This window comes from Homo sapiens, chromosome 17 (assembly GCF_000001405.40).
Source record: "Homo sapiens chromosome 17, GRCh38.p14 Primary Assembly".
Classification (NCBI taxonomy): domain Eukaryota; kingdom Metazoa; phylum Chordata; class Mammalia; order Primates; family Hominidae; genus Homo; species Homo sapiens.
The window spans coordinates 36,743,010-36,767,959 of NC_000017.11; the positions used below are offsets into that span (position 1 = coordinate 36,743,010).

Consider the following 24,950-nt stretch of genomic DNA (forward strand, 5'->3'; position numbering starts at 1 on the left):
GCCGGAGAGAGCATTTAATGAACCCCGAGTACCCACTACTCAGTTGCAACAATTATTAGCTTTGTCCATCTCGTTTCATCTGTCCCCTCTTTTTTTTTTTTTTTTGCCAGGGTAGTTGAAAACAAATCCCAGATATCAGGTGACTTCATGTGGAATGACTTCAGTAAGTACCTCTCACTAACTGGCCATGCCAGGATCACACCTGAGGAAATTAACAGTAATCCCATGGTGAGCGTCAGCTGACACTCAGTCCCTCTTTAACTGCGCCCCGCCTCCTCCCGTAAATATGTAAACCCACACTGCAAGGGTGGATGGAGGGCCATGTGGCCGGGCGGCTTCTGTGCTTTAGCTTTGGAGCCTTAAGAGGGTGAGGGTTGAATACCTGTGGCTTTGGGTGGGTGGTTTGCTTTATGGGGCCTCTCTTTCTTCCTATGCCAAAGGTACTGACCTCTCCCAAGGCGGTCAGGAGGACTGAATGAAATTGTATGAGTACAGTACTGGGTACTTGGTAGGGACTCAATGAATGGTGGCAGTGCTTACGATGTTTTCTATTTTGCATATAAGGAAACTGAAGTTCAGAGCAGGAGAGTGACTTGCTCAAGCTCACACAGCTCAGAGTGGTTAAGCTAGGATGGAAGCGTAGGTCTTCTAAGTGCTCTGGGATGTGTGTTCAACACAGCCCCCTCACCCCCTCTAATACTGGCCTTGTCTGCCACCACCCCATACTACAAATGGAAATGACACAGAGGGTGACATCAACAGGTCCCTTTTTCTCGATAGCCACTAGATCATGGTGCTGTGGGCTGAGCAGATGATTGATAGGACATCACTGGGCCTGGCTCTCCAGGAGACCTAGAAAAAGATCTTGCCCCTCTCTGGGCCTCAGTTTCCCTATCTGTACCACAAGGGCATTGACCTCCACGTGGTCTTCGAGACCTCTTCCAGTTCTGCTTTGTTTGCACCAGGGTTAGTAACCGTGGGAATGGGAGAGATGGAGATACTTGAGGCTGATGGGGAGTTGCACAGCCCAAGACCCCAGGCTGCAAGACAGTATGGGGATGAGGGCGATCCTCCCATATTGGAGATCAGGGATGGGGTGGCCCAGCTAGGTAGAAGTGAAGCTCCCCCACCCCCACTGGATTGTGAACCTCCTGAAATTAGGGCTGTGACTTGTACCTTATAAGTATCACATAGATGAGAAAAAATTTCATCGATGTAATGGATGGAACACTAGATAGGAGATCAGTAAGGAAATAGAAGACTTTAAAAACACTGTAAACCAGCTAGACCTAACAGACACTGCTTTCTAACGGCGATTGAAGAGCACATTCCACCCAGCAACAGCAGAATACACATTCTTCTCAAGTGCACACGGACCATTCTCTAGCATAGATCATATCTTAGGCCACAAATCAAATCTCAATAAATTTAGAAAAATTGAAATTACACAAAATATGTTCTCTGACAACAGAGTAATGAAATTAGAAGGTCAAAAACAGAAGGAAATTTGAAAATTCACAAATATGTAAAAATTAAACGACACACTCCTAACCAAAGGGTCAAAAAATAAATCATAAGGGAAATTAGAAAATACTTTGAGACGAATGAAAACAAAAACACAACATACTAAAACTTACAGGATGCAGTAAAAGCAGTGCTCAGAGGGAAATTTATAGCTGTAAACACCTACCTTAAAATAGAAGATCTCAAATCAATAACCTTCCACCTTACTAAAAAAAAAAAAAGCAAACTAAATCCAAAGCAAGCAAATAAAAAAATTAGAGCAGAGATAAATGAAACAGAGAACAGAAAAACGATAGAGAAAAATCAGCAAAACCAAAAGTTGGTTGTCTGAAATGATCTACAGAATTGACAAACCTTTAGCTAAACTGACCGAGAAAAAAAAAAAGAGAGAGAAAACTGAAATTACTAAAGTCAGGAATGGAAGTGGAGACCTTGCCACTGACCTTACAGAAATAAAAAGGATTATACAATTTCACTGATAGATTCGAAAGAAACTCCACAACATTTCTAGAGATTGGAGAGAACATCCGGAAATGGTTACCAGTAGTTGCCTTCAGGGAAACAGGGCTGGGGTGGGTGGAGCTGGGGTGCCTGCTTTTTATTATAAGTCCTTAAGGGCTATTTTTGTAAATGCTTTGATTGCAAAATATAAGACACATACAGAAAAGTGGATTTTTAAAAAGTACCGCTCAGTAATTTATCACCAAGTGAATATCCATGAAACCACCACTTGGTCAAGAGGAACATTACCACCTCCCCAGAAGCCCCTCCTGTACTCTAGCCAATCCTCCTCCCCAAAGAAAACCACCATTCTGACCTTTATGGCAAATACTCTTGCTCTCCTTGATAGTTTTGCCATCTCTACACACAATAGTTGGGTTCAGTTCGTGCTTGATAAATCCAATCAAGTAGCAGGTCCTCTTTTGGGTCCGGCTTCTTGCATTTTACATTCTGTTTGTGAGATTCCCCATGCTGTTGTAGGAAGCAATCGTTGGCTCAAATTTTCTTAGCTGTATCATATTCCATTTTATGAGTACACCATCATTTATGTGTCTGTTCAACTATTGATGGAATGGGCTTTTTAAAAAGCCATGTACCTAAAGATAGGTTGATTAAAATATTTCTGATAAAATGCACATTTAAAATGCAACTCAACACATATTAGTTTAATTTCATCCCTAGGATCCTCATTCCCTTTTCTGCTCCAATAAGTCATGAAGACAGCTTGGGTCTCAGAAGAAAATAGGCCGTTTAAGCAGAAGCCCAGAGGGAACACATCTGAGAGATGCCCACACCCTCATGGGGTCCTCTCATCAGCCCTTCTCCCCAAATTTTCAGCCTCAAATGGGGGAGGTCACACAGATGGAGAGAAACCACTCTCTCCCTTCCACCCGAGGTCTGCAGATTCCTGACACACATACGAGTGCACACCCAGGCAGACAGGCAAGAGCGTGGCCCCCACACATGAGCACACACACGGGCACCTAGGCATATCCCAGAAGTGGCAATGCCTGCTGGCACCTGACCAGCAGGCGAGGTCTGTGCACAGAGAAGTTGTGGAAGAAGAGGAGGGGAAAGCGTGGGGGAAAAATCCCCTCATTTCTGAAGAAATGTCCCAGATTAGATTTGTAAATCAAAAACCAATATATAACATGCAAGAATTGATCTGTTTTATATTCCTCAGTTACATTTTTGTGAAGCACATTTAGAAGATTTAGAACGTATTTGCGCCTGCTGGTTGGGCCATTATATGCTTGAGTTCATACATCTATTTGTGAGGCTATAAAACAGGCATCGACTACCATGTAAATTGTGTTCTCCACAATAAATTATATGCATACTTGCAAAAATACATAACTGCCGTGCCTGGGCCAACGCGGCCAGAATACTAATGAGGGCGAAAGTTGCTTTGTCCCTCTTCTCCGGCCTAATTTAGCCTCTACATCAAAAATTATGTAGGAAAAATCACTTTATCCTCTCACTGAGAAATAAAATAGCACTCATGGGTACCCTCATCTCTTCCCACCCCCCTTCCTTTTAACCGAACACTACCATTTTCATACTAATTTTAGCTGCTCCAGGTTTACGGGGAGGAAGGCTGGCTGAGCTGAAGCTGGGGTGCCAGCGGGCTGCCTGGATGTATGAGAAGGCTGTGGGAGTGGGCATGTGCATGCACACACTCACACACACACATGCATACACACGTAGGCACATTCCCTCCGTGTGGTTTGAATTCGCTTGTGCCAGGGCATGTTCACAGCATGCACACAGACCTACATGTAAATGTGAAGACTCACCCCAGACACGCATGCACAGACACTCCACGAGCATTTGCCCACGTGGCGCAGATTCATTCCCTCTCCCCGGTACAGACTCCTATGCACAGAGACACACTGGGGAAATTCAGTTCAGTTCGGTTCAATTCAGTTCAAACAGGTCAGTCCAGCAAACACTGACTGAGCACCTATTAGATGCCATGTGCTGTACTTGGCATTGGGACTACGGAGATTTTTTTTTAAAAAAGGCAGAATCTCAGCTTATAGCTCAGGGGAAGAGGCAGCTTTAGGAACAAATGCAGACAAGTCAGTATGCTGAGGGCTGTAGCAGAGACAGAGAGCATACAGGTACACACACTCACGCCCTGGTCATTGTCAGTGTGCATATTTTCCAGTACTCATATGTGCACACACAGATGCACACAGAGTCCCTGCACTTACACAGGCACATACCTCACACCACATGGACTCACGTGTGCATGCACAACACACACATACACACACCGGTACACTCAAGCATCAGCATAGCCACCCTCCCACTGACACCGCATGCTGGTGCCTGCCTCACCTCTGTCTTTCCTGCAAGCCCAAGTTAACTTCACGCCCTGTCTGGCTTGCCCTTTCTTGGGTTCTGTTGCTGTCTATCCTGGAAGCAGAGCCACTTCCAACAGCAGGCTGGCTAGTGTTGCTCCCACTTCTCCCAGGGGCCTGCCCAAGGTTCCATCTTGCTGGGAGCTTCCGCAGGCTCACAAGAGGAAGGAGAAGTAGACACAGGAAGATCTCATTTCCATGACCTCAGGCCAGTCCGTGCCCTGTCCCAGGCCTCAGTTTACTCCTTTTCTTTTTCTTTTTTCCTTTCTTTTTTTTTTTTTTTTTTTTTTGAGATGGAGTCTCACTCTGTCACCCAGGCTGGAGTGCAGTGGCGTGATCTCTGCTCACTGCAACCTCCACCTCCCAGGTTCAAGCAATTCTCGTGCCTCAGCCTCCCGAGTAGCTGGAACTACAGGTGTGCACCACTACATCTAGCTGCCTTTTTTGTATTTTTAGTAGAGACAGGGTTTCACCATGTTTGCCAGGCTGGTCTCCAACTCCTGACCTCAGGTGATCCGCCCGTGTTGGCCTCCCAAAATGCTGGGATTACAGGCGTAAGCCACCGTGCGCCCGGCCTACCCATTTTTAAAATGTGGGAATTGGATGGTCTCTGAGGCCATCAGGCTCCAGATGTCCACAGTTTGTGCTGAAGAAGGTGGCGCCTCAGTCCAAGTCAGAGAGTGTGAGACAACTGCAGAGACGCCCCCAACCTGGAGGCATCTCGGCCCCGCTCCGAGCTCCCAGCCTAAGAGAAGCGTTTGACCTCAGGGGCAGGCCTCATGAGGGCAGGAGAAGTCATGTCCTGGAGAAAAGGAGTGGCAAGATGTGGTAGGGGAGAGAAGACTTGGTGCAAGAGGGCCAGCTGGGATATTTATAGGTGCCAGCCACGGTTCTAGGGGAATTTCATTCTATCTTCAAACACCTGAAGGGCTGCCGTGGGGCAGAGGGAAAGGACTTCCTCTGCATGACCCAGTTGGTAGAACTAGGACAGTGGGAAAGTGGTGGAGGCTGCAAGGAGACAGACAGCCTTTAGTTGAATACAGTGATCAGCGTGATTTCTCCGTGCGTGCACCCGCCTACCAGCATGCGTGGTGTACATTCTGCTGCTGTGTATTCCGTCTCCTTGCAGCCCTTTCTTTCCTCTGCTCCCTATAGCTCATCCTATGGCTTTTCATACCGTACTATTTTCTCTTTATCTCAGCTTGTTCTTGGAGTAGAAAATATGTTCTTTTTAAAAACGAAAATCAGATTTTTATTGAGGAAAAAATATTAAGTTCACATGATGAAAAATTCAAATTGGTCAAAGGATGTATGGCGAAAAGAAGGTCTCTCTCTCTGGCTGCCCAGGCTCCTCCGGCTGCCCAGGCTCCTCCGGCTCATCGTCATCCAGCTTCCTTCTCCAGAAACAACCACTGTTACCAATTGTTATGTGTTTTTTCAGAAATATACTGTGCGTGCAAGCATCTCTCTCTGTCTGTTGATCTGTCCTTTATTTAACACAAATGTGAGCATACCATGTGCCCTGATCCTTGCCTCCCCTCCCCTCCCCTCATCCCAACCTAACTACGTAGCTTGGAAGGTGTTTCTGAGGAAAAGTTCTCCATTGGGCGATATCTGACAATGAAATGGGCTAACGAGCTCTCAACACTGGGGATGTGGAGGCACAGGCTAGATGACCACTTGGGGAAAGAAAAATGGGAGAGTTGGGCCCTTCCTTGGAGGAGGAAGGTTAGACTCATGCCGTCTAAGGCCCTTTCCATGAACCAGCTGCTTGGATACAAAGAGAACAGCTCTCTTTATCTTGCGTTCTTCCCATTTTTCCCCACTCCCTCCCAGCGCCCCACAAGCTGGGCCAGGGTCACCAGTGTTTAAAGCCGCCCAGCCTTGGCTTCCAGCCCTTGTGTAATTGACAAGAATTCCCCCCCTCCCTAAGAGATGGCCTCTCTCTGTGCCAGCCACATGCCACTAAACTCCAAATTAAGAGGCCCAGCTGAGATTTCTGTCTTATTCCACCCATACTCCTGGGGCCAATCCTCTCTCATTTCAGGAGGGGAATGGAACTCAGTTTGGATTTGGGAAGGGGGGTAGAGGGGGCTCGCCACCAAAGCTGGTGCCTCTATGCTCCAGAGAGATGTGCGTGTCCTACCATGCGGCTTAAGACTTCTCCAAAACACCGTCCCCCCAAATCCAATAAAATTGCAAATTTCACTGTATTTCACAATATCCTAAATAAACATGAACAGCATGCGTTTCTCTTCCTTGCATCAAATATTAATCTGCCCGTGGCCAGCGCCCGCTCCCCCGCGTGTGTGCGCACGCTGGGTAAACACTGGGGAGATTGTGATGCCAGACCTTCCCTTCTCTTCCCCGAGTCGAGAGCATGACAAATTTTTCTCCTAATTACACCTGCCACTGTTTGCCTTCTAATACTGTAAATCCTCCATCACATAGTTTTTCAGATTCGGGATTAGGTTCTCTTCCTGTCGTACGAATGATTGGAGGGGGCAGGGATGGGGGAGGAGGCTGGGGTGGTGTGGGCTGCATGGCCTTGCTTTCCACGATTTCGCTGTGAGGACTCCTGAGCTGGGCACCAGCAGTGTGTCCAGGCACCTCGCCCTTCTTCAGGGTGGGAAGGAGATGTCAAGAGGCAGCGGGGAGGAGGGAATGGAGAAAAGATACCTGTGCAGGTGTACAGAACCTGCTCAACCCAGCTTCATTAGCCCCCGCTAGGTGCCCAGGAGCCCTGGAGATAATGAAGCTTCTGAGATCCAAGCGAGAAGGTGAATGTGCAGCTTCTGGTGCGGTGCCCAGCACGGAGTTGGTGGACAGTGACCTGGAGCTCCCCACTTGCTCTGTCTCCTGACTGAAGCCATCCTCATCTCTCTCCTGGACTGTGAAACCTGGCTTCCCACTGGTTTCCACCTCACCTCACCCCTCTCCAAAGAACCCATTGTCCCCAGCTGCCAGAGGCTCTTTCTAAGCCCAGAGCCCTCCATCGAGACAGGCCCTGTCTCAGAACTCCAGCTGACTTCCCACCATGTTTGAGTCATGTCCAGCCCCATCCTCTACGGCCCTCCACCACCGTCCACCTCAATTCTCCTGCCTCATGCCCCGTCCTCAGGCTTCCTGTCCACCCACCGTAGACTGAGCCTACCTCGTCCACCGCCTCACCCTTCCCCACATGCGCTGTGCAAACTGCTACCTCCTCTTCTTTGCTCCCTCTGCCTGGAATGGATGCTTGTTGAAATTTCAGCTTTCTTCCCAGGTATTCACCCCCGATGACGTCACCTCTTTGAAGCCCTCCTTTGTGATCCCATGGAGCTTCACATCTACCATGTTTGGGACTCAGATCTTTGCCTCATCTGTCAGTGGTGTAGGAGGGTCTGTAGGTGCTTTCAAGGTGGAGTCCAGGTCCTAAGCATCTCTGTCCCTCAATACCTCTCTAGTTTCCAAGTCTTGGCACTGCAGAAGGATGATACCTGGTGCATGGTCGGGGGGAGCGTCCTGCTGTTTCTAAATCTCATGACCAAGTCAACTGCCTGCTCCAGCTGTGGGAGAGAATGGGCAGCTGCCCACCTGGCAGGTAATAGGGAACCCCAGCCAGTGCAAGAGGATCAATCCCTCCAGGCTACGGTGACAGGAGGAGGAAGGAGGACGTTGAAAAGCCCAGACCTTCCATTCCCTTCCCCGCTGCAGCGTGCGCTGGTCTGATAGGGTCCCCTCCCAGTTGTCTGTGTGTCTGGAGCATCCAAGCTGTACAAAGGACACCGAATCATTCTCCAGGGGTTTTGGCGTATGCAGTGTTATTGGCTATTTTAATTTGGTGAGGAAATGCAGATAACAGCTTTGGCTTCTTATTACCCTCCGTTCCTAGAGGCCCTTCTGCCTCCAGGTCTGCCCCAGCCCATTGGCGCAGGAGGACCCCATCCCACTGTGTCTGAAACCTCGAGCTGGGCTAAGAGGGGCAGTCTTAGGCGGGGTCCAGGCTACCCTGGTGAGGTCTCCATCCTTTCAAAGCTCCCCTGGAGTTGTTCTCGAAGCCTCCCAGAGTCAGCTTGTTCAGCTTGAATAATATCTGTCCCTGGCCTTGTCCCCTCCCCACACATTTCACCTTCAAAGGGCCAGGAGAAATTTCCCTAATTAATTAACTCCTCTGCAGCCTGCCCTCCATGTCATTGGGTGATTAATCGTCACTGTGACTTTAAATCCAGGGGCGGAGGGAAGTTGGCAGGGGTGGAGGCCAGAAGCAGGGATGCTGGGGGTTGGGGGAGGCAGCCTGAGGGCCTTTCCTGGGGTTGGAAGACCCCCACCTCATCCCCATTCTTGTCCTTGCCCAGGGCCTGGCCAAGAGGCCCCAGAGCCAGACCACAAATACATCCATCAATAATCAATCAATGAGTCTCAAATAGAGACGGTGAGAACTAGGCCATTCTGGGAGAGGCGGGGTGGCTCCTGCCTATTCTAAAGTCTGCAAAACAGGGTAGCAGTTAAGAACATGGGCTTTGGAGTCAGGAGGAACTGAGTTCTAATCCTGACTCTTTCTCTTTCCAGCCGTGTGACCGATGGCAGGTCACTTTGCCTTCCGGGGCCTCAGTGTTCTCACCTATACAATGGGGATGAGCAAATAGGACCTACCTCCCAGGACACCTGGGAGGATGAAATGAGATCACGTGTGTGAAGCTCTTAGCATGGCGTGGGGGACACAGCAAGTGCAGGGGACGCAGCAACAGTGTGGCGGCTGCTACATCACGGAGGCTGTAAGGCCAGACTCCTTGTCCCCAGTGCCCAGCTAGGTCCCTTGCCCCCCCGGCTCTGTTGTCTTTAGTGGCTCTTCCTCCTCACTCACTCCTCTGTGCAGTCACACAGCCCAACCCAGCTGCTGCACTCACCTGCTGCATGACCCTGGGCAAGGTGCTTACTTTCCTTACGTCTGCATTTCCTGATTTAGAAAACAGGGTAAAGCTGCCCTGCCTGCATGCTTCCAAGGCTCTGGCACACACACAAGGATGTAGCCCAGCCCTTCCTCCAAGGAGTTCCATGACAGGAAAGACAGAAGGGGAAAGAAATACTTGCAAATTCGGTGTGAGCTATGACAGAGGTGCACGGACATTCAGCAGGAGGCAGGCAATGGCATCACGGGCTCAGAGTACAGTGAGGGTGAAAGAAGATGATTCCACACATAATAGTTGCTCAGTAAACATCTTTTCCCTTCTCCAGCCTTACTCTTTCCATATAGCCTAACTTTTTAGACTCAGCTGCTTTCCACCTCAGAACCCCAATCTCTGTCCTTTCTGCTGAGCCTGCAAAATCTGGAAGGAGGGATAGAAGACGGGCCCCTTGGGGAGCCCCTCCTATCATCACCAACCTTAGTTAACATTTGCTGTTTACTGTTTCCAGGCACTGGGCAGGTGTTCTGCATACATTAAAATCTAATTGAATCCTCACAACAGCTCCACGGAACAGTTGTCAAGGCTGACCCAGAACCTAAGGGAGACAGACCAGAGGGATAAATCCAGGTAGGCTTCCACTGGGGCTGCAGAGACTTAGGGTTTTAAAAAGTGGGTGCTGCCAAAGAGGGGCGGTCCCATCCGAAAAAGCAAATGACTGGCCCTCAGACTCCTGGCAAGACCCCAGGAGGCCTGTGGTGCTCAGGTTTATTCACTTCATTCACTACTTTAAGGAAGCTTCATTGATCTTGTGCCCTGTAGTGGGGAGTTCAGTAAGCCCAGCCCCATCTCATCTCAGCAGCTCCTCTCCACCGGAGTTCAGCCACCCCAGGCGCTCTGCGAGACAGATACACTGGTGGGAGCCTGGGTGGAGGGTAGGGGTTTGTCCTGCCTACAGAACGTGTCTGGGACTTAAAGCAGGCTCAGAGGAATCTCCGGGATCTTTCAATGCAGCTCCATGCTCCCAGTGAGTGTGTGGTGTGGGGTGGGCATGGGGCAGTGAGGAGCGAAGGGGTGTGGAGGGAGGGGGACCAGCCTTGCTCAAGGTCACAGGGGTTCTTAGTAATAGAACCCAGACCACTGGGCACCAGGGTTTTCCAGAACAGGATTCCTAGTGGGTGTGGTGTGGCTGGGGAAAGGGAGGGCTGTGATTGCTGCCATATGGGGGTAGGGGGAGAGCTGTCAGAAACAGCATTTGGGGGAACAATCAGGGTGGAAACAGTATCCAGAAGGTCAGGGTGCCAAAATTTTGTAGGCAGCACAGGGTAAATTAAACAGGTTTTGAAGCAAACACACATATCTTACTGCCCCGCCCCTTCTCAGGCTGTGCGACCACCGGCAAGTTACTTCACCTCTCTGGGCGTCAGTCTGCTGAATGTAAAGTGCTTAGTTCTCAGAAAGGCTAAGACAAATATCCATTTTCTTCTTTTTCCTTTCGCTACTTGCCCCCTCCCTGGGAGCTTCACCCTCACTGTAGTTCCTGGTGGACTCATTCATTCATTCGACAGGGAACCGATTTAGTACCAGGTACTGTTCTAAGCACTGGAGATAAGGAGTGAACAGACAAAAACATCTACCCTCAGGGGGTTTACACTCTAGTGGAGGGAGACAGACAGCAAATTACATCAGTTATTTAAGTGTCTAAGTGCTTGTATAAGTGCTATACAGAATGAAGAGGAAAGGAGACATAGAGGGTGTTGTGGGAATGGGTTCAATTTTAAAGAGAGTAGTCAAGGAGGGCGTCATTGAGAAGGTGACATTTGAGCAAAGACCTGACTGAGGCAAACTCTGCTGATTTTTGGGGAAGGAACTCCTGGGCAGAGGGAACAGCCAGCACAAAGGCCCTGAGGAAGGATTGGCCTGGCCAGTTCAGGGAGAGGCGAGGAAGCCAGAGAGACCAGTGGAAGGAGGGAGGCCGGCATGGTAGGAGGTAAGGTCACGGGGAGGAGGCCAAGGGAGCCAGATGGGGCAGTGCTCACAGACCATTGCAAGGGCTTTGACTCTGAAGGAAGCTGAGAGCCAGGCAGGGTTTGAGCAGGGCAGGGACACGGTATGACTTAGAACGAGGTTCCTCTGGCTACTGGTCAAGAGCAGGCTGTGGGGCAACAAGGGTGGAAGCCCATTTGGAGGCTACTGCAGTCACCCAGGTGAGAGGCAGTGGTGGAGAGCAGTGGTCAGATTCCGGATGAATTTTGCAGGGAGAGCTACCCAGGTTAGCTGATGGATTGGCTGTGGGGTTGAGTGAGAAAGAAAGGAGTCAAGGGCGACGAGGCTCGGAGAGGTTAGGGTGGGCTGCTTCTGAGTGTGCTGTGAGCCAGTGCCTTTCTCTTGTACAGAACATGTCCAGACTGCTGTCTCCAATAGCCTATACCCTCCAGTTCCCTTCTCTCCTGCTCCGTGGAGCTCTGTGGCAGCCATTTCTACTACAGTGTGGGCCTTGCATGGGAGCTGTTAGGGAGGCATGTGCACACACACGCACACTCACATGTGTGTGTGTTCATGGGCTGCCTCCAAGAGCTTCGATCCTGTTTTATGTGATGGCATGCAGGCCTCCCTCCTCTGTTTTATGTGATTGCATGCAGGCCTCCCTCCTCTGATGAAGAATTGCTAAGGAGGCCAGGTGTTGTGGCTCACGCCTGTAATCCCAGCACTTTGGGAGGCTGAGGCGGGTGGATCACTTGAGGTTAGGAGTTCGAGACCAGCCTGGCCAACATGGCGAAACCCCGTCTCTACTAAAAATACAAAAATTAGCCGGGCATAGTGCTGCGCGCCTGTAGTCCCAGCTACTTGGGAGGCTGAGGCAGGAGAATCACTTGAACCTGGGAGGTGGAGCTTGCAGTGAGCCGAGATCACACCACTGTACTCCAGCCTGGATGACAGAGCAAAACTCTGTCTCAAAAATAAAAAAAGAAAGAAAGAAAGAAAGAGAAGAAACGTTAAGAAGCTGAAGCCCTTCCATATGTCTGAGCCTTGGTGTATTCATCTGAGAAATGGGAGTGAGGATTGTGGAAGAACCCTGGGTTGGGCTGAGGGCTGGGCAGGTAGGAGCTAGAATGCCTGGATGTTGTTGCCATGAAGCTAGGAGAGGGCTGGAGGTTCAAGAAGGTTTCTAGATACCTGGGTTGGGGGAGGGGGTGCAGAGGGAGTGGGGTCAAGGTATGAGGCATGAGTCAAGGGTGTGGGGTTGGAGGGTGGGGTGTGAGAGGTGGGCCCTGGGAAGAGCTGAGGGACCAGTCTGGGAGGGGTGAGGTGCTTGGTAAGTACTTGGTAGAGGGCGCAGCAGGTACTCTGGCGAGATGCTGGGTACTGCAGCATATATGCAGCGTGCATGATGAGCTCTAGGTGTTCGGGGCTCTCTGGTGAACGCGCATCACCTTGTTTACCTCCTTTCATACTCCTGTCCACTTCGCCAGCTCCACACTGCCCCCTGGCAGTGCCTTGTGTGCACCAGAAGTGAGTTCTCCCTGGGGCCTTGGCATTCCGTTCCCTCTGCCAGGATTGCTTATCCTGGATGTCCACGTGCTCTTTTGCCTTCTCCATGGCTTTGCTCACAGGTCCTCCCCAGCCAGGCCTTCCCTGACCCTATCCAATCTGCAGCCCCACCCAGCGCTCCCTCTTCCCTTCTCTGACTTCATTTCTTTCCATAGTGTGTGTCACCGTCTTTCATCTATTTCACTGATTTTGCTTATTATCTCCTTCCTCTAGAAGCTAAGCTCCATGTGGGTAGGGACTTCTGGTTTTTTTGTTTGTTTGTTTTGTATTGTTTTTGAGACACAGTGATGCTCTGTTGCGCAGGCTGGAGTGCAGTGGCACGATCTCAGCTCACTGCAACCTCCGCCTCCGGGGTTCAAGTGATTCTTATGCCTCAGCCTCCTGAGTAGTTGGGGTTACAGGTGTACAACACCATGCCCAGCTAGTTTTTTGTATTTTTAGTAGAGACTGGGTTTCACCATGTCGGCCAGACTGGTCTTTAACTCCTGACCTCAAGTGATCTGCCCACCTTGGCCTCCCAAAGTGCTGGGATTACAGGAGTGAGCCACCACACCTGGCCTGTTGGTTTTTAACGGTGGTGAAATGTACATACAGTACTTACTATTTCAATCATTTGTAAGTGTACAATTCAGTGGCATTAAATGCATTCTCACTGTTGTGGAAGCATCCCTGTCTATACCCTATACTTTTTCATCATCTCCAAAATAAACTTTGAGCCCATTAAACAATAACTTCCCCATCCCTCCCCCCCCCAGCTCCTGGTAACCTCTATTCTATTTTCTGTCTCTGAATTTGCCTATTCTGGGTACCTTATATAAGTGGAATCCTACAATATTTGTCCTTCTGTGTTTGGCTAACTGTACTTAGCATAATATTTTCAAGTTCGATCTATGTTGTACTATATATCAAAATTCCATTTCTTTTTATGGCTGAATAATATTCCATCACCTGTACACACAATGTTTTGGTTACAACTGCGTGCTCTGTGCCTGGCATAGTGCCTGACTCATGGTCAGTGCTCAGTAAATATTTGTTGAATGACTGAGTGAATGAATGAATGACTGAGTGAGTGAATGAATGAATGAGTGAATGAATGAATGAATGAATGAGTGGAAGGGGTGATGAGTCTTTATGGTTTTGTTTTTGTTTTAGAACCATCGTGTTTGAGATCCTAGAGAAGTGTTTGCATAGAGATGACAATAAGTGCCCCTGGGTGTTGAGGAGAAAGGAGGATGAGGGGTAAATGGTGTGTGAGCAAGGGTATGAAGAGGGGGTACAGCTGGTCTCCCGAAAGGGGTTCCTTCCTGCCCTGGGCAGAGCACCTCCACCCTCCCTTCCTCACTCCAGAGGAGCCTGGGGCGGGAAGTCTTCTGCAGGAATCCAGTCTCAGACTCCCTGCCCCTGGCCTGCTTTGGCTTCTCCTCTCCCTTTGGGGTGCCTGGAGTGTATGTGGGGTGCTCAGAGCATATGTGGGGTGCTCTGTGCCTCGGGAGGGGGCCCCAGGTCTGGCAGGCTGGAGATGATGTCCCTGCTGGGCAGCTGTCCTCAACCTGAGATTGCCGAGGGTCTGAACTCACCCATGAGAGGGTCCAGATGTCCAGCCTCATCCCTGCTAATTAGTGCAATTAATTAGCAACTGGCTTCATGGCCCTGGGAGTCCTGAGCTCCTTTCGCACGCTGGAATAGTACTGCAAACAGGTGTCGGGGGAATTATGGGGGTCAGTGAAGGAGATAGACTGTAGGCTGACCCTTCCCTGGACAGAGAGCCCCCTGCCCAAGAGTGATTGTAGTGGCTTTTCTCTCTTCTGTCTGGCTGGGCCCAGGAAAGCCATGCCTGGGAAGTGGTGGAATAAAGGGAGGAGGCCCAAGTCCCACAGCCAGAGCTGCAGAAGGAGTAGGAAACACGGTGTCACCTATTCCGGGTTTTTGCAGGAAACCTGGGCTCTGCCAGAAGATTCCCTGACCCCTGCAGGAGATACAGCCCCTGTCCTGGGAGATGTCCCCAGTTTGATTTTGCAGATACAATCACTGCCCTAGGGGAGCTCCTGGTCAGATTGGGGAATTAAGTAGAAGACACAAATTTGAGGCTGGGCGCAGCAGCTTACACCTGTAATCCCAGCACTTTGGGAGGCCAAGGCGAGTGGATCACTTGAGGTCAGGAGTTTGAGACCAGCCTGGCCAACGTGGTGAAATCTGTCTCCACTAAAAATACAAAAACAATTAGCTGCGTGTGGTGGTGCACACCTGTAACCCCAGCTACTCAGAGGCTGAGGCAGGAGAATTGTTTGAACCCGGAAGGCAGAGGTTGCAGTGAGCCAAGGTCATGCCACTGCACTGCAGCCTGGGTGACAGAGTGACTCTGTCTCATGAGAAAAAAAAAAAAAGGGACACAAATTTGAGAAAACAGTCCCTGGGCTCTTTGAGTAACACAGAGATAAGTGCCAAAGGAGGAGGTCCAGAGAAGGGAGGGTGGGTCCTAGGGGGAGGAGCTGTCCTGCTGACCTTGAAGGAATAGAGGGCAGATCTCAGCGGGATGCCCTTGAACTTCCCGGAAACAGTGAGCCGCAGCACTGAGTTGGGACTCATTTGAGGGAGAGGGTGGCCAAGACACAGTACAGACCAGGCCCGCAAGAGCCTTCAGACTTCAAGCTGGAGACCGTGGGCACCGCACCCACTCAAGGTTGGGGAGAAAAACCGCCATTGACCTCCATGAATAGGGGCTGGAGGGGTGCGGGCCCAGCTTGGGGGATAGAATCAGAGAAGCAGCAAGCTCCCACCACTTAGGGAAGATGTTCCTGGTGAACGTCATTGCTACCAACTGGCCATGAGCAAGAGAAAGAGGGTGGCTGGGGAGAATCACAGTCTGGAGGGAGGTGTTTGGGATGAAGGGATAAGTATTTTCCATTTTGCTTTAGCTTTTTTAAAGGTCCCAGAGGGGCATTTACATAGAGATGACAAGCTATCAGGAGGGGGTCTGGGGCTGAGGAAGACGGTCAGGCCAGAGGTTAAAGATTCAAGGCAGCCTCAACACCTTTACCTGGCACTAATGAGATGTTAATAAAGATGTCCCTATTCTTCTATGTGTGGTCTATGGAACAGCAGCATCAACACCACTTGAGAGTTTGTCAGAAATGTAGAATCTTGGGTCCCATCCTGAACTGACTGCTACGGTTTCAATGTCTATGTCCCCTCCAGAATTCATGTTGAAACTGAATCCCCAATGCAACAGGATTAGGAGGTGGGGCCTGTAGGAGATGATTAAGTCACGAGGCCTCCACCCTCATGAATAGATTAGCACCCTTATAAAAGGGCTTGAAGGAACTAACTAGGCCCTTTTTGCCCCTCTTTTTTTCTGCCATGTGAGGACACAGTAGCAATGTGCTGTGCTGGAATCAGAGAGCAGCCCTCTCAGACACAGAATTTGCCGGTGCCTTGATCTTGGACTTCCCAGCCTCTAGAACTGCAAGAAACAAATTTCTATTATTTATATATTACCCAGTCTGTGATATTTTCATTATAGCAGCACAAGTGGACTAAGACACGGACTAATCAGATTCTGCATCTTAACAGGATCCTCCAGTGATTCGTGTGCACATTGAAGTTCAACAGGCTCTGCTCCAGATGCTATCATTATTCTCCTAATTTTATGGTTGAGGAAGCTGAGGCTCTGATGGTGAAGAAGATGGCGAGGCATTGGCTGGAGGGGAGAGTTCAGGTACTTAAAGTACCTGGGTTTAAAGTTCAAGGGGCATAAGTTTCCCAGTGGGGAGCAGGGAACATATGTTGCACAGTGCTGTGCTAGTAAATGTTTAACAATTGATTTGAGGAATGGGGGGGAGTCCTGATTTGAAGTGTTTGCCAATTTCCATGGTGTAACTACTCCCACCATGGTGAATTTCAAATTACTAACCTGGTGTCACTGAACATGGCCTTGGAAAGAGACAACCATGATTGGCTCCAACACACCACTGATCTATATGTGTACATGTATTTTCTTAGCTTCAGAGAAAAATCCAAAGAAACAGATCCAACCCCTCCCCCACCAGCTTTAACCTCTGTTCACTCCCACCACACCCCTAAATATGGACAGACAGACAGACTGGCAGACAGATGGATGCTGCTGTGCTAGTACCTCTGCATGTGATTAGCCTACGGTGTTGCATGTGTCTGTCCCCTTTCTTGGGGATAGGATCAGTGACATGTTGGCCTCTGCCCCGTATCCTAACTAAATGTCACCTTCAGCCAGACTGTTCCAGCAGGTTTTCCTCAGAGAGTGAGCGCTGGGAGCTTGGAGCCCAGGCCTGGGTAGATATCAGTGGTCAGACATGCCTAGTTTACTCTTTTCACCTGGAAACTTGATTTCTCCTAAGCCTGAGACCACTGTGTGGGTGGGGCCCGAGTAAGCAGCCTGGCGCCATGACCCGCCCCAGCTGTAGCCTGTTCTTCCCATATTACCCAGAGCCTTCCGGGTCTGGGCTGCTGCCCCCCGTCTTTCTTTTGGAAAGTTGAGGACCATGGGACGCCTGCGCAGAGCTCAAAGCTCTAGCTTCTAGTCTTCCGTTGCTGCTTATTCATGGGTGGTCCTGGGAACCCATTTATGACATTTACACACTTGTTTAGGGTGCTTTTGCATTCATGAAACGCTTGGATGTACATTGTCTCATTTCATCCTGATAAGAATCCTGCAGGGCAAGTGCTATTATACTTTATTTTTTCTTTTTAAATTCATTAGAATATTGAACTTTTTTAGTCAGCAGAGGAAGCAGGGCCTTCGTGGCATTAAGAGAATTGTGTGACGTCACCAGGCTGGGAAGGGCTGGGCTGCACTGCAGCTGAGGTTCAGTTTACCCACCAGTAAGCGAGATGAGCAGACTCAGTTCTCTTTAAAGTCTCTTCCAGCTCTGACATTCTGGACATTGGAAAGGTCAGGGGAAAAAATGCCAGGAGCTCTTTTATTTTTTTAAACAGGGACATTCCGCAGAGTGGACTGGGTGTCTGCGAGTGCATGGATATGTGTGTGCATGTGTGTGGATGGGTAGACATGAGTGTGTGAGAATGCGGCTGTATTGAGGGTACATGAATGTGGATGTGTGTGTAGGCGCCAAGGTGTGCCTCTGGGTGTTGGTATTGTGTGTACAGGTGTGGTTGCATCTGTGTGTGCAAGGTGTGTAGGTGCATAGGTGTTGCTGTGGGTGCAGGGTGCTGTATGACAGTGAGTGTGCCAGTGTGTGACGGAGTGTGTGTGGATATGTGAATAGGTGTGTATATGTGAGTACCAGTGTGCAACAGAGTGTGAGTGTGGATGTGTGAATAGGTGTGTATAGTGACTGTGCTGGTGTGTGATGGAGTGTGAGTGGATGTGTGAATAGGTGTGTATGGTGACTGTGCTGGTGTGTGATGGAGTATGAGTGTGGATAATAGGTTATGGTATAGTGAGTGTGCCCAGTGTGTGACGGAGTGTGAGTGTGGATGTGTGAGTAGGTGTGTATAGTGAGTGTGCTGGTGTGTGACAAAGTGTGGATGTGTGAATAGGTGTGTGTAGTGAGTGTGCTGGTGTGTGGAGTGTGAGTGTGGATGTGTGAGTAGGTGTGTATAGTGAGTGTGCCAGTGTGTGACGGAGTGTGAGTATGGATGTGTGAATAGATGTGTATAGCGAGTGAGTGTATATTGGGAGAGAGAAAACGTGGCGCAGCACCAATTGACGTCTGTCTGTCCCTCCACCTCTCCCAGCACCCTCGTCCCCTCCTCCCCACCCTGTGGTCCCTTCGTCCTGATCCTCAAAGGCTCTGTGGGGGTTCTGCGGCTGAACGCCTGCCTGCCTCCTCCCCTTCCCCCACTGAGGGCCAGGACACACTCCCGGCCGGAGCGGGTGGCCACAGTCCCTTTCCCCTGGGCCAGTGCCTGCGACGGGTGCTGGATTAGCCGAGGAGTGATACAATGGCACATACGGTCCTGAGTGCCGGGTGCGGCCCAGGGCCCCTTACTCAGTGCCATCGGGATTAGAGCTAATGAGTTGGAAGGAGTTAACAATGCTTCGGGCCAGCGGAGGCCCAGGAGACCTCTCAGGCCCCGCGCTGTGGCCGCCTTTCACCACTGAGGTGTAATCCGCTTTGAAATCAAAGGTGGTACAAAGTATGAATTTAAATTTGACATTTACGGCTCCGGTGAGATGACGTATTCTGGAAAGGTCTCTTCTTCTTTAAGGGGGCTGGGGGTGGGGGAGAAGGCAGGGGGAGGGGAGGAGAGTGAAGCCATCTGCTCTGAGAGGAAGGCCCAGGCTTGTCCAGGCCTGGCCAACTTTCCCCCCATGGCTTGGGCTGGGGGAAAGGGGTGGGGTGGGAGTTTTGGGGGCAGATGAGAAGAAGGAGGGGGTGGCATCATTCATCCTCCCAGCCTCAATTTAGAGGGTCCCCCTAGTATAGGGCTCCCTGATCCCTAGGAAGGAGTCCCTAAGAAGACAAAGCCGAATTCTTGTCAAAAAGATCTTTAGCCCCATTTTTTTTTCCTGTTGGATTTTTAAAGTTTTTTTAAACATTGTGGTAAAACATATATCACTTATACCATTTTAACGATTTTTAAGGGTACAATTCAGTGGCATTAATTACATTTCACAGTGTTGTACAACCATGACCACTCTGTTTCTAAAACTTTTCACCACCCCAGACAGAAACCTATTAAGCAATAACTTTCTATTCTCTTCTTCCCACAGCCCCTGGTAATGTCTACTTTCTGTCTCTATGAATTTGCCTTTTCTAGATATTTCCTGTAAGTGGAATTATACAATATGTGTCCTTTTGTGCCTGGCTTATTTCACTTAGCATTGTGTCCTCAAGGTTTATCCATGTTGTAGCATGTGTCATAACTTAATTCTTCTTAATGCTGCGTAGAATTCCGTCCTATGTCTGTGTCACATTTTGTGTTTCACATTTTGTGTTTCCATTCACTGGTTGATGGACACTTCAGTTTGGCCATCGTGAATAATGCTGCAATGAACATGGGTGTACAAGTATTGGTTTGAGTCCCTGTTTTCAGTTCCTTTGGCTCTATACCTAGGAATAGACTTGCTATCATATGGTAATTTTAGGTTTCATTTTCTGAGGAATCTCCAAACTGTTTTCCACAGTGGCTGCACCGTGTTACAGTCCCACCAGCAATACATAAGGGTTCCAATAGTGCCACATCCTCTCCAATGCTTATTTCCTGTGTGTTTCTGTTTTAATTATAGCCATCCCAGTATGATGGAGTGATAGCTTCCTGTGGTTTGTTTGTTTTGAGACAGAGTCTCTATCGCCCAGGCTGGAGTGCAGTGGCAAGATCCTGGCTCAAGGCAACCTCTGCCTCCTGGGTTCAAGCGATTCTCCTGCCTCAGCCTCCCGAGTAGCTGGGATCACATGCCTGTTTGCTAATTTTTGTGTTTTTAGTAGAGATGGGGTTTTGCCATGTTGGCCAGGCTGGTCTCCAACTCCTGATCTCAAGTGGTCTGCCTGCCTCGGCCTCCCAAAGTGCTGGGATTGTAGGCATGAACCATCGTGCCTGGCCCACCTTCCTGTGGTTTTGATTTGCATTTGCCTGTGCTTAGGGAGGCGGAGCTTCGTTTCCTGTGCTTGTTTGCCAAGTATGCCTCTTCTTTGGAACCTGGCCCCATTTGATACACCCAGAAGCTGAGGCTCTCACTCCCCAGCGTGCTGTGGTATCCTGCGTCCTTCTCCATTTGGCCCCAGCCCCTCTAGGCTTTTATCCTGCCCCGCCCCCACCCTCACACTCCCAGCAGCCTCTGCGACTCCCACATTTCCCAGACATCTCCTGGACTCTGCTGACTGTGGACTGGGTGGAAGAAGGGGAGGCATCTGCTATGTGTGGGGCACCAGGACTCCCTCAGCCCACCTCGCTGAGTCCCTTTCCTCACATCCCGCCACGATTTCTCCTACTCACTCTTCCAGGCCAGACAGCAGCCACTCTGGGCTCCCCGAGAACCATTCCATGTCCCAGCATTGAGCTCCTCATAGTGGATGGTAACTGTGAGCTCCATTGTCAGGGTCTTTTCCAAGAGCAGGAGCTGTGTTCACTCCCTTCCCAGGGGCCCTCAGCAAGGAGCCCTGGGTCAGGCAGGTGCTCCTTGCATTTTCTTTGATCCTCACTCTGCCACATCTCTGACATTGGTTTGGGAGAGGGAGAAGGGATGGGAGAACACTGACCCTTGCTGACATGTATTGGGCACTTACTATGTCCCAGGCCATGCTAAGCCCTTTGCTGGCATTGTCTGTCTCAACTTCACAGTAATTCCACAAAGTAGGCACCTTTGTTATCTTCTTCTTCTTTTTTTTTTTTTTTTTTGAGATGGAGTCTCGTTCTGTCACCCAGATTGGAGTGCAGTGGTGTGATCTCCACTCACTGCAACCTCCACCTCCCAGCTTCAAGCGGTTCTCCTGCCTCAACCTGCCAAGTAGCTGGGATTACAGACACCTGCCATCATGCCTGGCTAATTTTTGTATTTTTGTGGAGATGGGGTTTCACCATGTTGGCCAGGCTGGTCTCGAACTCCTGACCTCAGGTGATTCACTCACCTGAGCCTCCCAAAGTGCTGGGATTACAGGTGTGAACCACCGCGCCTGGCCTGTTATCTCCTTTTTTTGCAGAAAGACTGAACTCACAGGTGGGCCCAAGGGGCCTGTTTTCCAGCCCCACCCTCCCATCTGTTTGTTTTGTTTTGTTTGTTTGTTTGTTTGTTTGTTGAGATGGAGTCTCACTCTGTCGCCCAGGCTGGGGTGCAGTGGTGTGATCTTGGCTCACTGCAACCTCCGCCTCCAAGGTTCAAGCAATTCTCCTGCCTCAGCCTCCCGAGTGGCTGGGATTACAGGTGCGCACCACCATGCCCAGCTAATTTTTGTATTTTTGGTAGAGACGGGTTTCACCATGTTGGCCAGGCTGGTCTGGAACTCCTGATCTCAAGTCATCCGCCTGCCTCAGCCTCCCAAAGTGCTGGGATTATAGGTGTGAGCCACTGTGCCCGGCCCCTGCCCTCCTATCTTTGATGGACACTCTTGGGCCCTCCCAAGCCTTCCCTTCTGGATTTTCATACCATTTCATCCCACATCTTGCCCCCAAGTTGGGTAGGGGTGATGAACAGAAAATAACATCTGCCCCCTTACCCAAGCATAGGCCTTAGGTAGCCCAAGCTCCTCCACAAGAGTGTGTGACTCCTCTATGTGGTAAGGAAAGGGTGAGGGATTCTTCTCCCTCTGCTACAGATGAAGGAATGGAGACTTGGAGACATTAAGCAACTTGTCTAATGTTACACAGACAGCGGGGATGGAGATAGGGCTTAGTCTCAGATCTTCTGCTCTCAAATCCAGAGCTCTTTGCTTTAATCAAGTTGCCTCCTTAGAAGCAGAGCTGGTTTCATCCACCTGTAGCAGGCATTTACAAACACAACCCCAACCTTAGTCAACCTTAGGTTGACTTTCCTCCGCCCCTAAGTTTTCTCACCCCTAAAGTGGGAATCAAGAAACCTACCTCCCCCAGTTGCTATGAGAGGTTATAAGGAATGAGAAGCACCTAGCTCAGTGCCCGGCACATGGAAGGTGCTCCATAAATTACTTTCCCTTCGCTCTTTTAGCACAATCTCTCCCCACTTTTCTTGGGGGTCTGCCATGGTGGGAAATGAGAATTTCTGGTTGGGGAGGTAGTCGACCGCGTTTGAAGTGACAGTGACAGATGGGAGGGTGGCTCTCCCAGGCGCCTGGCCAGCCCCACGGTGCGTGTCCACCAGTCCCCGGACATTCCCTCCCTCTTCCTGGCCCACGATGAGGTGTCATTTGCCGCCTGTCCCTTCTCGTCATCGATTTCTAAGTCGTTAATTAACGGGGCTTGTCAGCTGGGAAGATGAATTCTGTCCTCGGCTCTCGGGGTCTTTTGTTTTGGGATTGTAAATGTTATAGATCTCCCATGATGGAAGGCCATGAGGTCAGGGGGTGCTGGGCTGCCCAGTGGCGGTGGCAGGCAGTGAGAGGAGCTTGTGGGCCTGGCTGGATCTCGCTAGTCTGGGACAGGCCCCCAGGAGCCTTCACAGCAGCCTCTATTGGCTTGGCTCCCTGGGGATGGGGTGGGAGGGAGAGGGGAGTTTTCCTGCCATCTAAAGCTTTCTTCTGTGAGAAGCTGCCCTGTGCCAAATGGTATAGATTCAGCCATGCCCAGGATGGGGACTGGCTGGAGGGGATATAGACTCTACTCAGTTTGATGGGGGAGATAGCATTATCCTCAGGGATTAGCTAGTCTGATGGGGGAGACAGTGTTATCCTTGGGTAATAACCGGTCTGATGAAGGAGTCATAGCTCTGGCTTGGGAGAGCCCTTAGTCTAATAGGGGAGACCGAATTCCTGTTTTAGGAGAACCCATAATCAGATGGGAGAGGTACAAGTCTGCCTTGGGAACCCCTAGTCTGATGGAAAAAAATGAGACCCTGTCCTTGGGCACTTATAGGCATTGAGAAAATAAGATATTTTCAGGCAAAAGTTCACTCATAACTTGACTTAAGTGGATTTGGGTCCTCTATGTCCTGATACCTGAGGCAAACCACTCCCTGAGCCAGCGGGTCCCCTACGCTGAGGGAATCCAGGCCATCCCTCGGCCTCTCATGCAAGATAAGATCTCAGGGAAGGGAAATGATTTCACCATCAGCTGAGCTGAGTTTCAGGAGGGTAAAACTGATGCCTAAGAACAAGGATTGATATAAAAATGAAAAATTGTATACTTGGCTTTTGATGACTTGAACTGCAAATGGGTATGTGTTACGGGAAGAGCTTACAGAACACTGACAAATAGCCATGGAGTGGCCACATACATGAAGGAGAACTGGCTTCTCTATGCAAAGGGAAGCTGGGGGTGGGGAGGGGAGGACATGCTGTCAGTTTTCTGGGTGCTGAGAGCCACTCTGTCCTGCGGCTGAGTAGGGTCTGGCTGCACGTGGACTAGAATCCAGGATAGGCCCTCAGGAAACCTGGTTTGGGCATCAAGATTGCTTCTATCTTGCTGTGCAAACTTGGGGATTTTTTTCCCTGTCTCTGGGTCTCTGTATTGCAAAAGGAGTAGATCAAAGGTGTGGGCCCCCCACCTCCAACTCTCAGAAGCAGCATGGGTGGAGCTCAGGCTTCCATGCCACCAGGGATTTGAGTTTGGTTGTGATCTATTGCTTTGGCCAAGTAGCTCAACCCGTTTGAACTTCATTTCTTTATCTATACATTGGAGATGACAGCAGCACACAGTTTTTAAGGTTGTTGTGATATTGTGGGTAAAGTGCGTACAGCAGGGCCAGGCTCAGTATGTGTGGCTGTCGTTGTTATTATTTAGGAGAACCCACAATCAGATGGCAGAGATACAGCTCTGCCTTGGGAACCCCTCAGTCTGATGGAAAAAGACAGACCCTATCCTAGGGAGTTTGGACATTGAGAGAATAAGATATTTGCAGGCAAAAATCCATGCATAACTTGGCTGAAGTACATTTGGATCCTCTGTGTCCTGGTACTGATGACATTACTAGTAAACAAGGGCCTTAGAGAACCCTTGGCTCACAGGGACCAGCAGGCCCAGTGTGCTGCCCCGAGCCCTGTGGCTGGAGGAACTGCTTTCAGCTCACTGAACGTTTACAGGAACTTCAGGTCTTGTCCCCCCAACCTCGGTCATTTTATCACCCAGTCCTGTTTCTGATCCCTGGGACCCTGATCTAGGGAGTAACCTTGATGCCTACCTGCTGCTGGAGGTGGGCAGAAGAGATGTGCCCCCAGCCCGGACCTCTCAGAAGCGGCCTGGCTCCCAGGTTCCTGCCGGAGCTGGAGAAAACCTAGCCTGGTTTGGGCAATGGTTCCTGGGGAGGGGGGTGGCCTCAGCCTTGGGGTAAGTCTGGGAGGGAACAAGGAGGCAGAGGCAAAGTCTTGCTGCTGCTGGTGGTAGGAGGCCTTCCAGGAGCCTATGCTTTCAGGCTGAGGTGGGGAGGGGGCCTTTGCTGTGGGACAGCCCCAGGAGGGACAGGGACACTGTGTCAGCCACCACCCACCCCCTCTGCCTTATGAATGAATGGGTCTAGGATAGCAGGCCCCATTCTTGGCCTCCTCCAGAAGTGGGGAGT

The 24,950-nt window shown here is 50.1% G+C and overlaps 1 long non-coding RNA gene across 3 annotated transcripts in view, besides 1 other annotated feature; it reads left to right on the forward strand.

The window, feature by feature from the left end:
• Positions 1-24,950, forward strand: part of LOC105371750 (uncharacterized) — a 115,553-nt gene that overhangs the window by 85,116 nt on the left and 5,487 nt on the right. For 2 of the 3 annotated variants that reach the window (XR_002958156.2, XR_001752870.2), the window contains one exon: positions 111-5,854. This is a non-coding gene — a long non-coding RNA (uncharacterized LOC105371750). Of the gene's footprint in view, positions 1-110; positions 5,855-9,788; positions 9,908-24,950 lie in introns of those variants that run through there. The other variant, XR_007065730.1, reaches the window with a different exon arrangement.
• Positions 9,963-10,136: a silencer, noted in NCBI's record as "fragment chr17:35109266-35109439 (GRCh37/hg19 assembly coordinates)". NCBI's record gives its function as "represses an EF-1alpha promoter that drives an FKBP-Casp9 reporter gene in an ReSE screen in HepG2 liver carcinoma cells {active_cell/tissue: HepG2}" and the evidence as "EXISTENCE:reporter gene assay evidence [ECO:0000049][PMID:32094911]".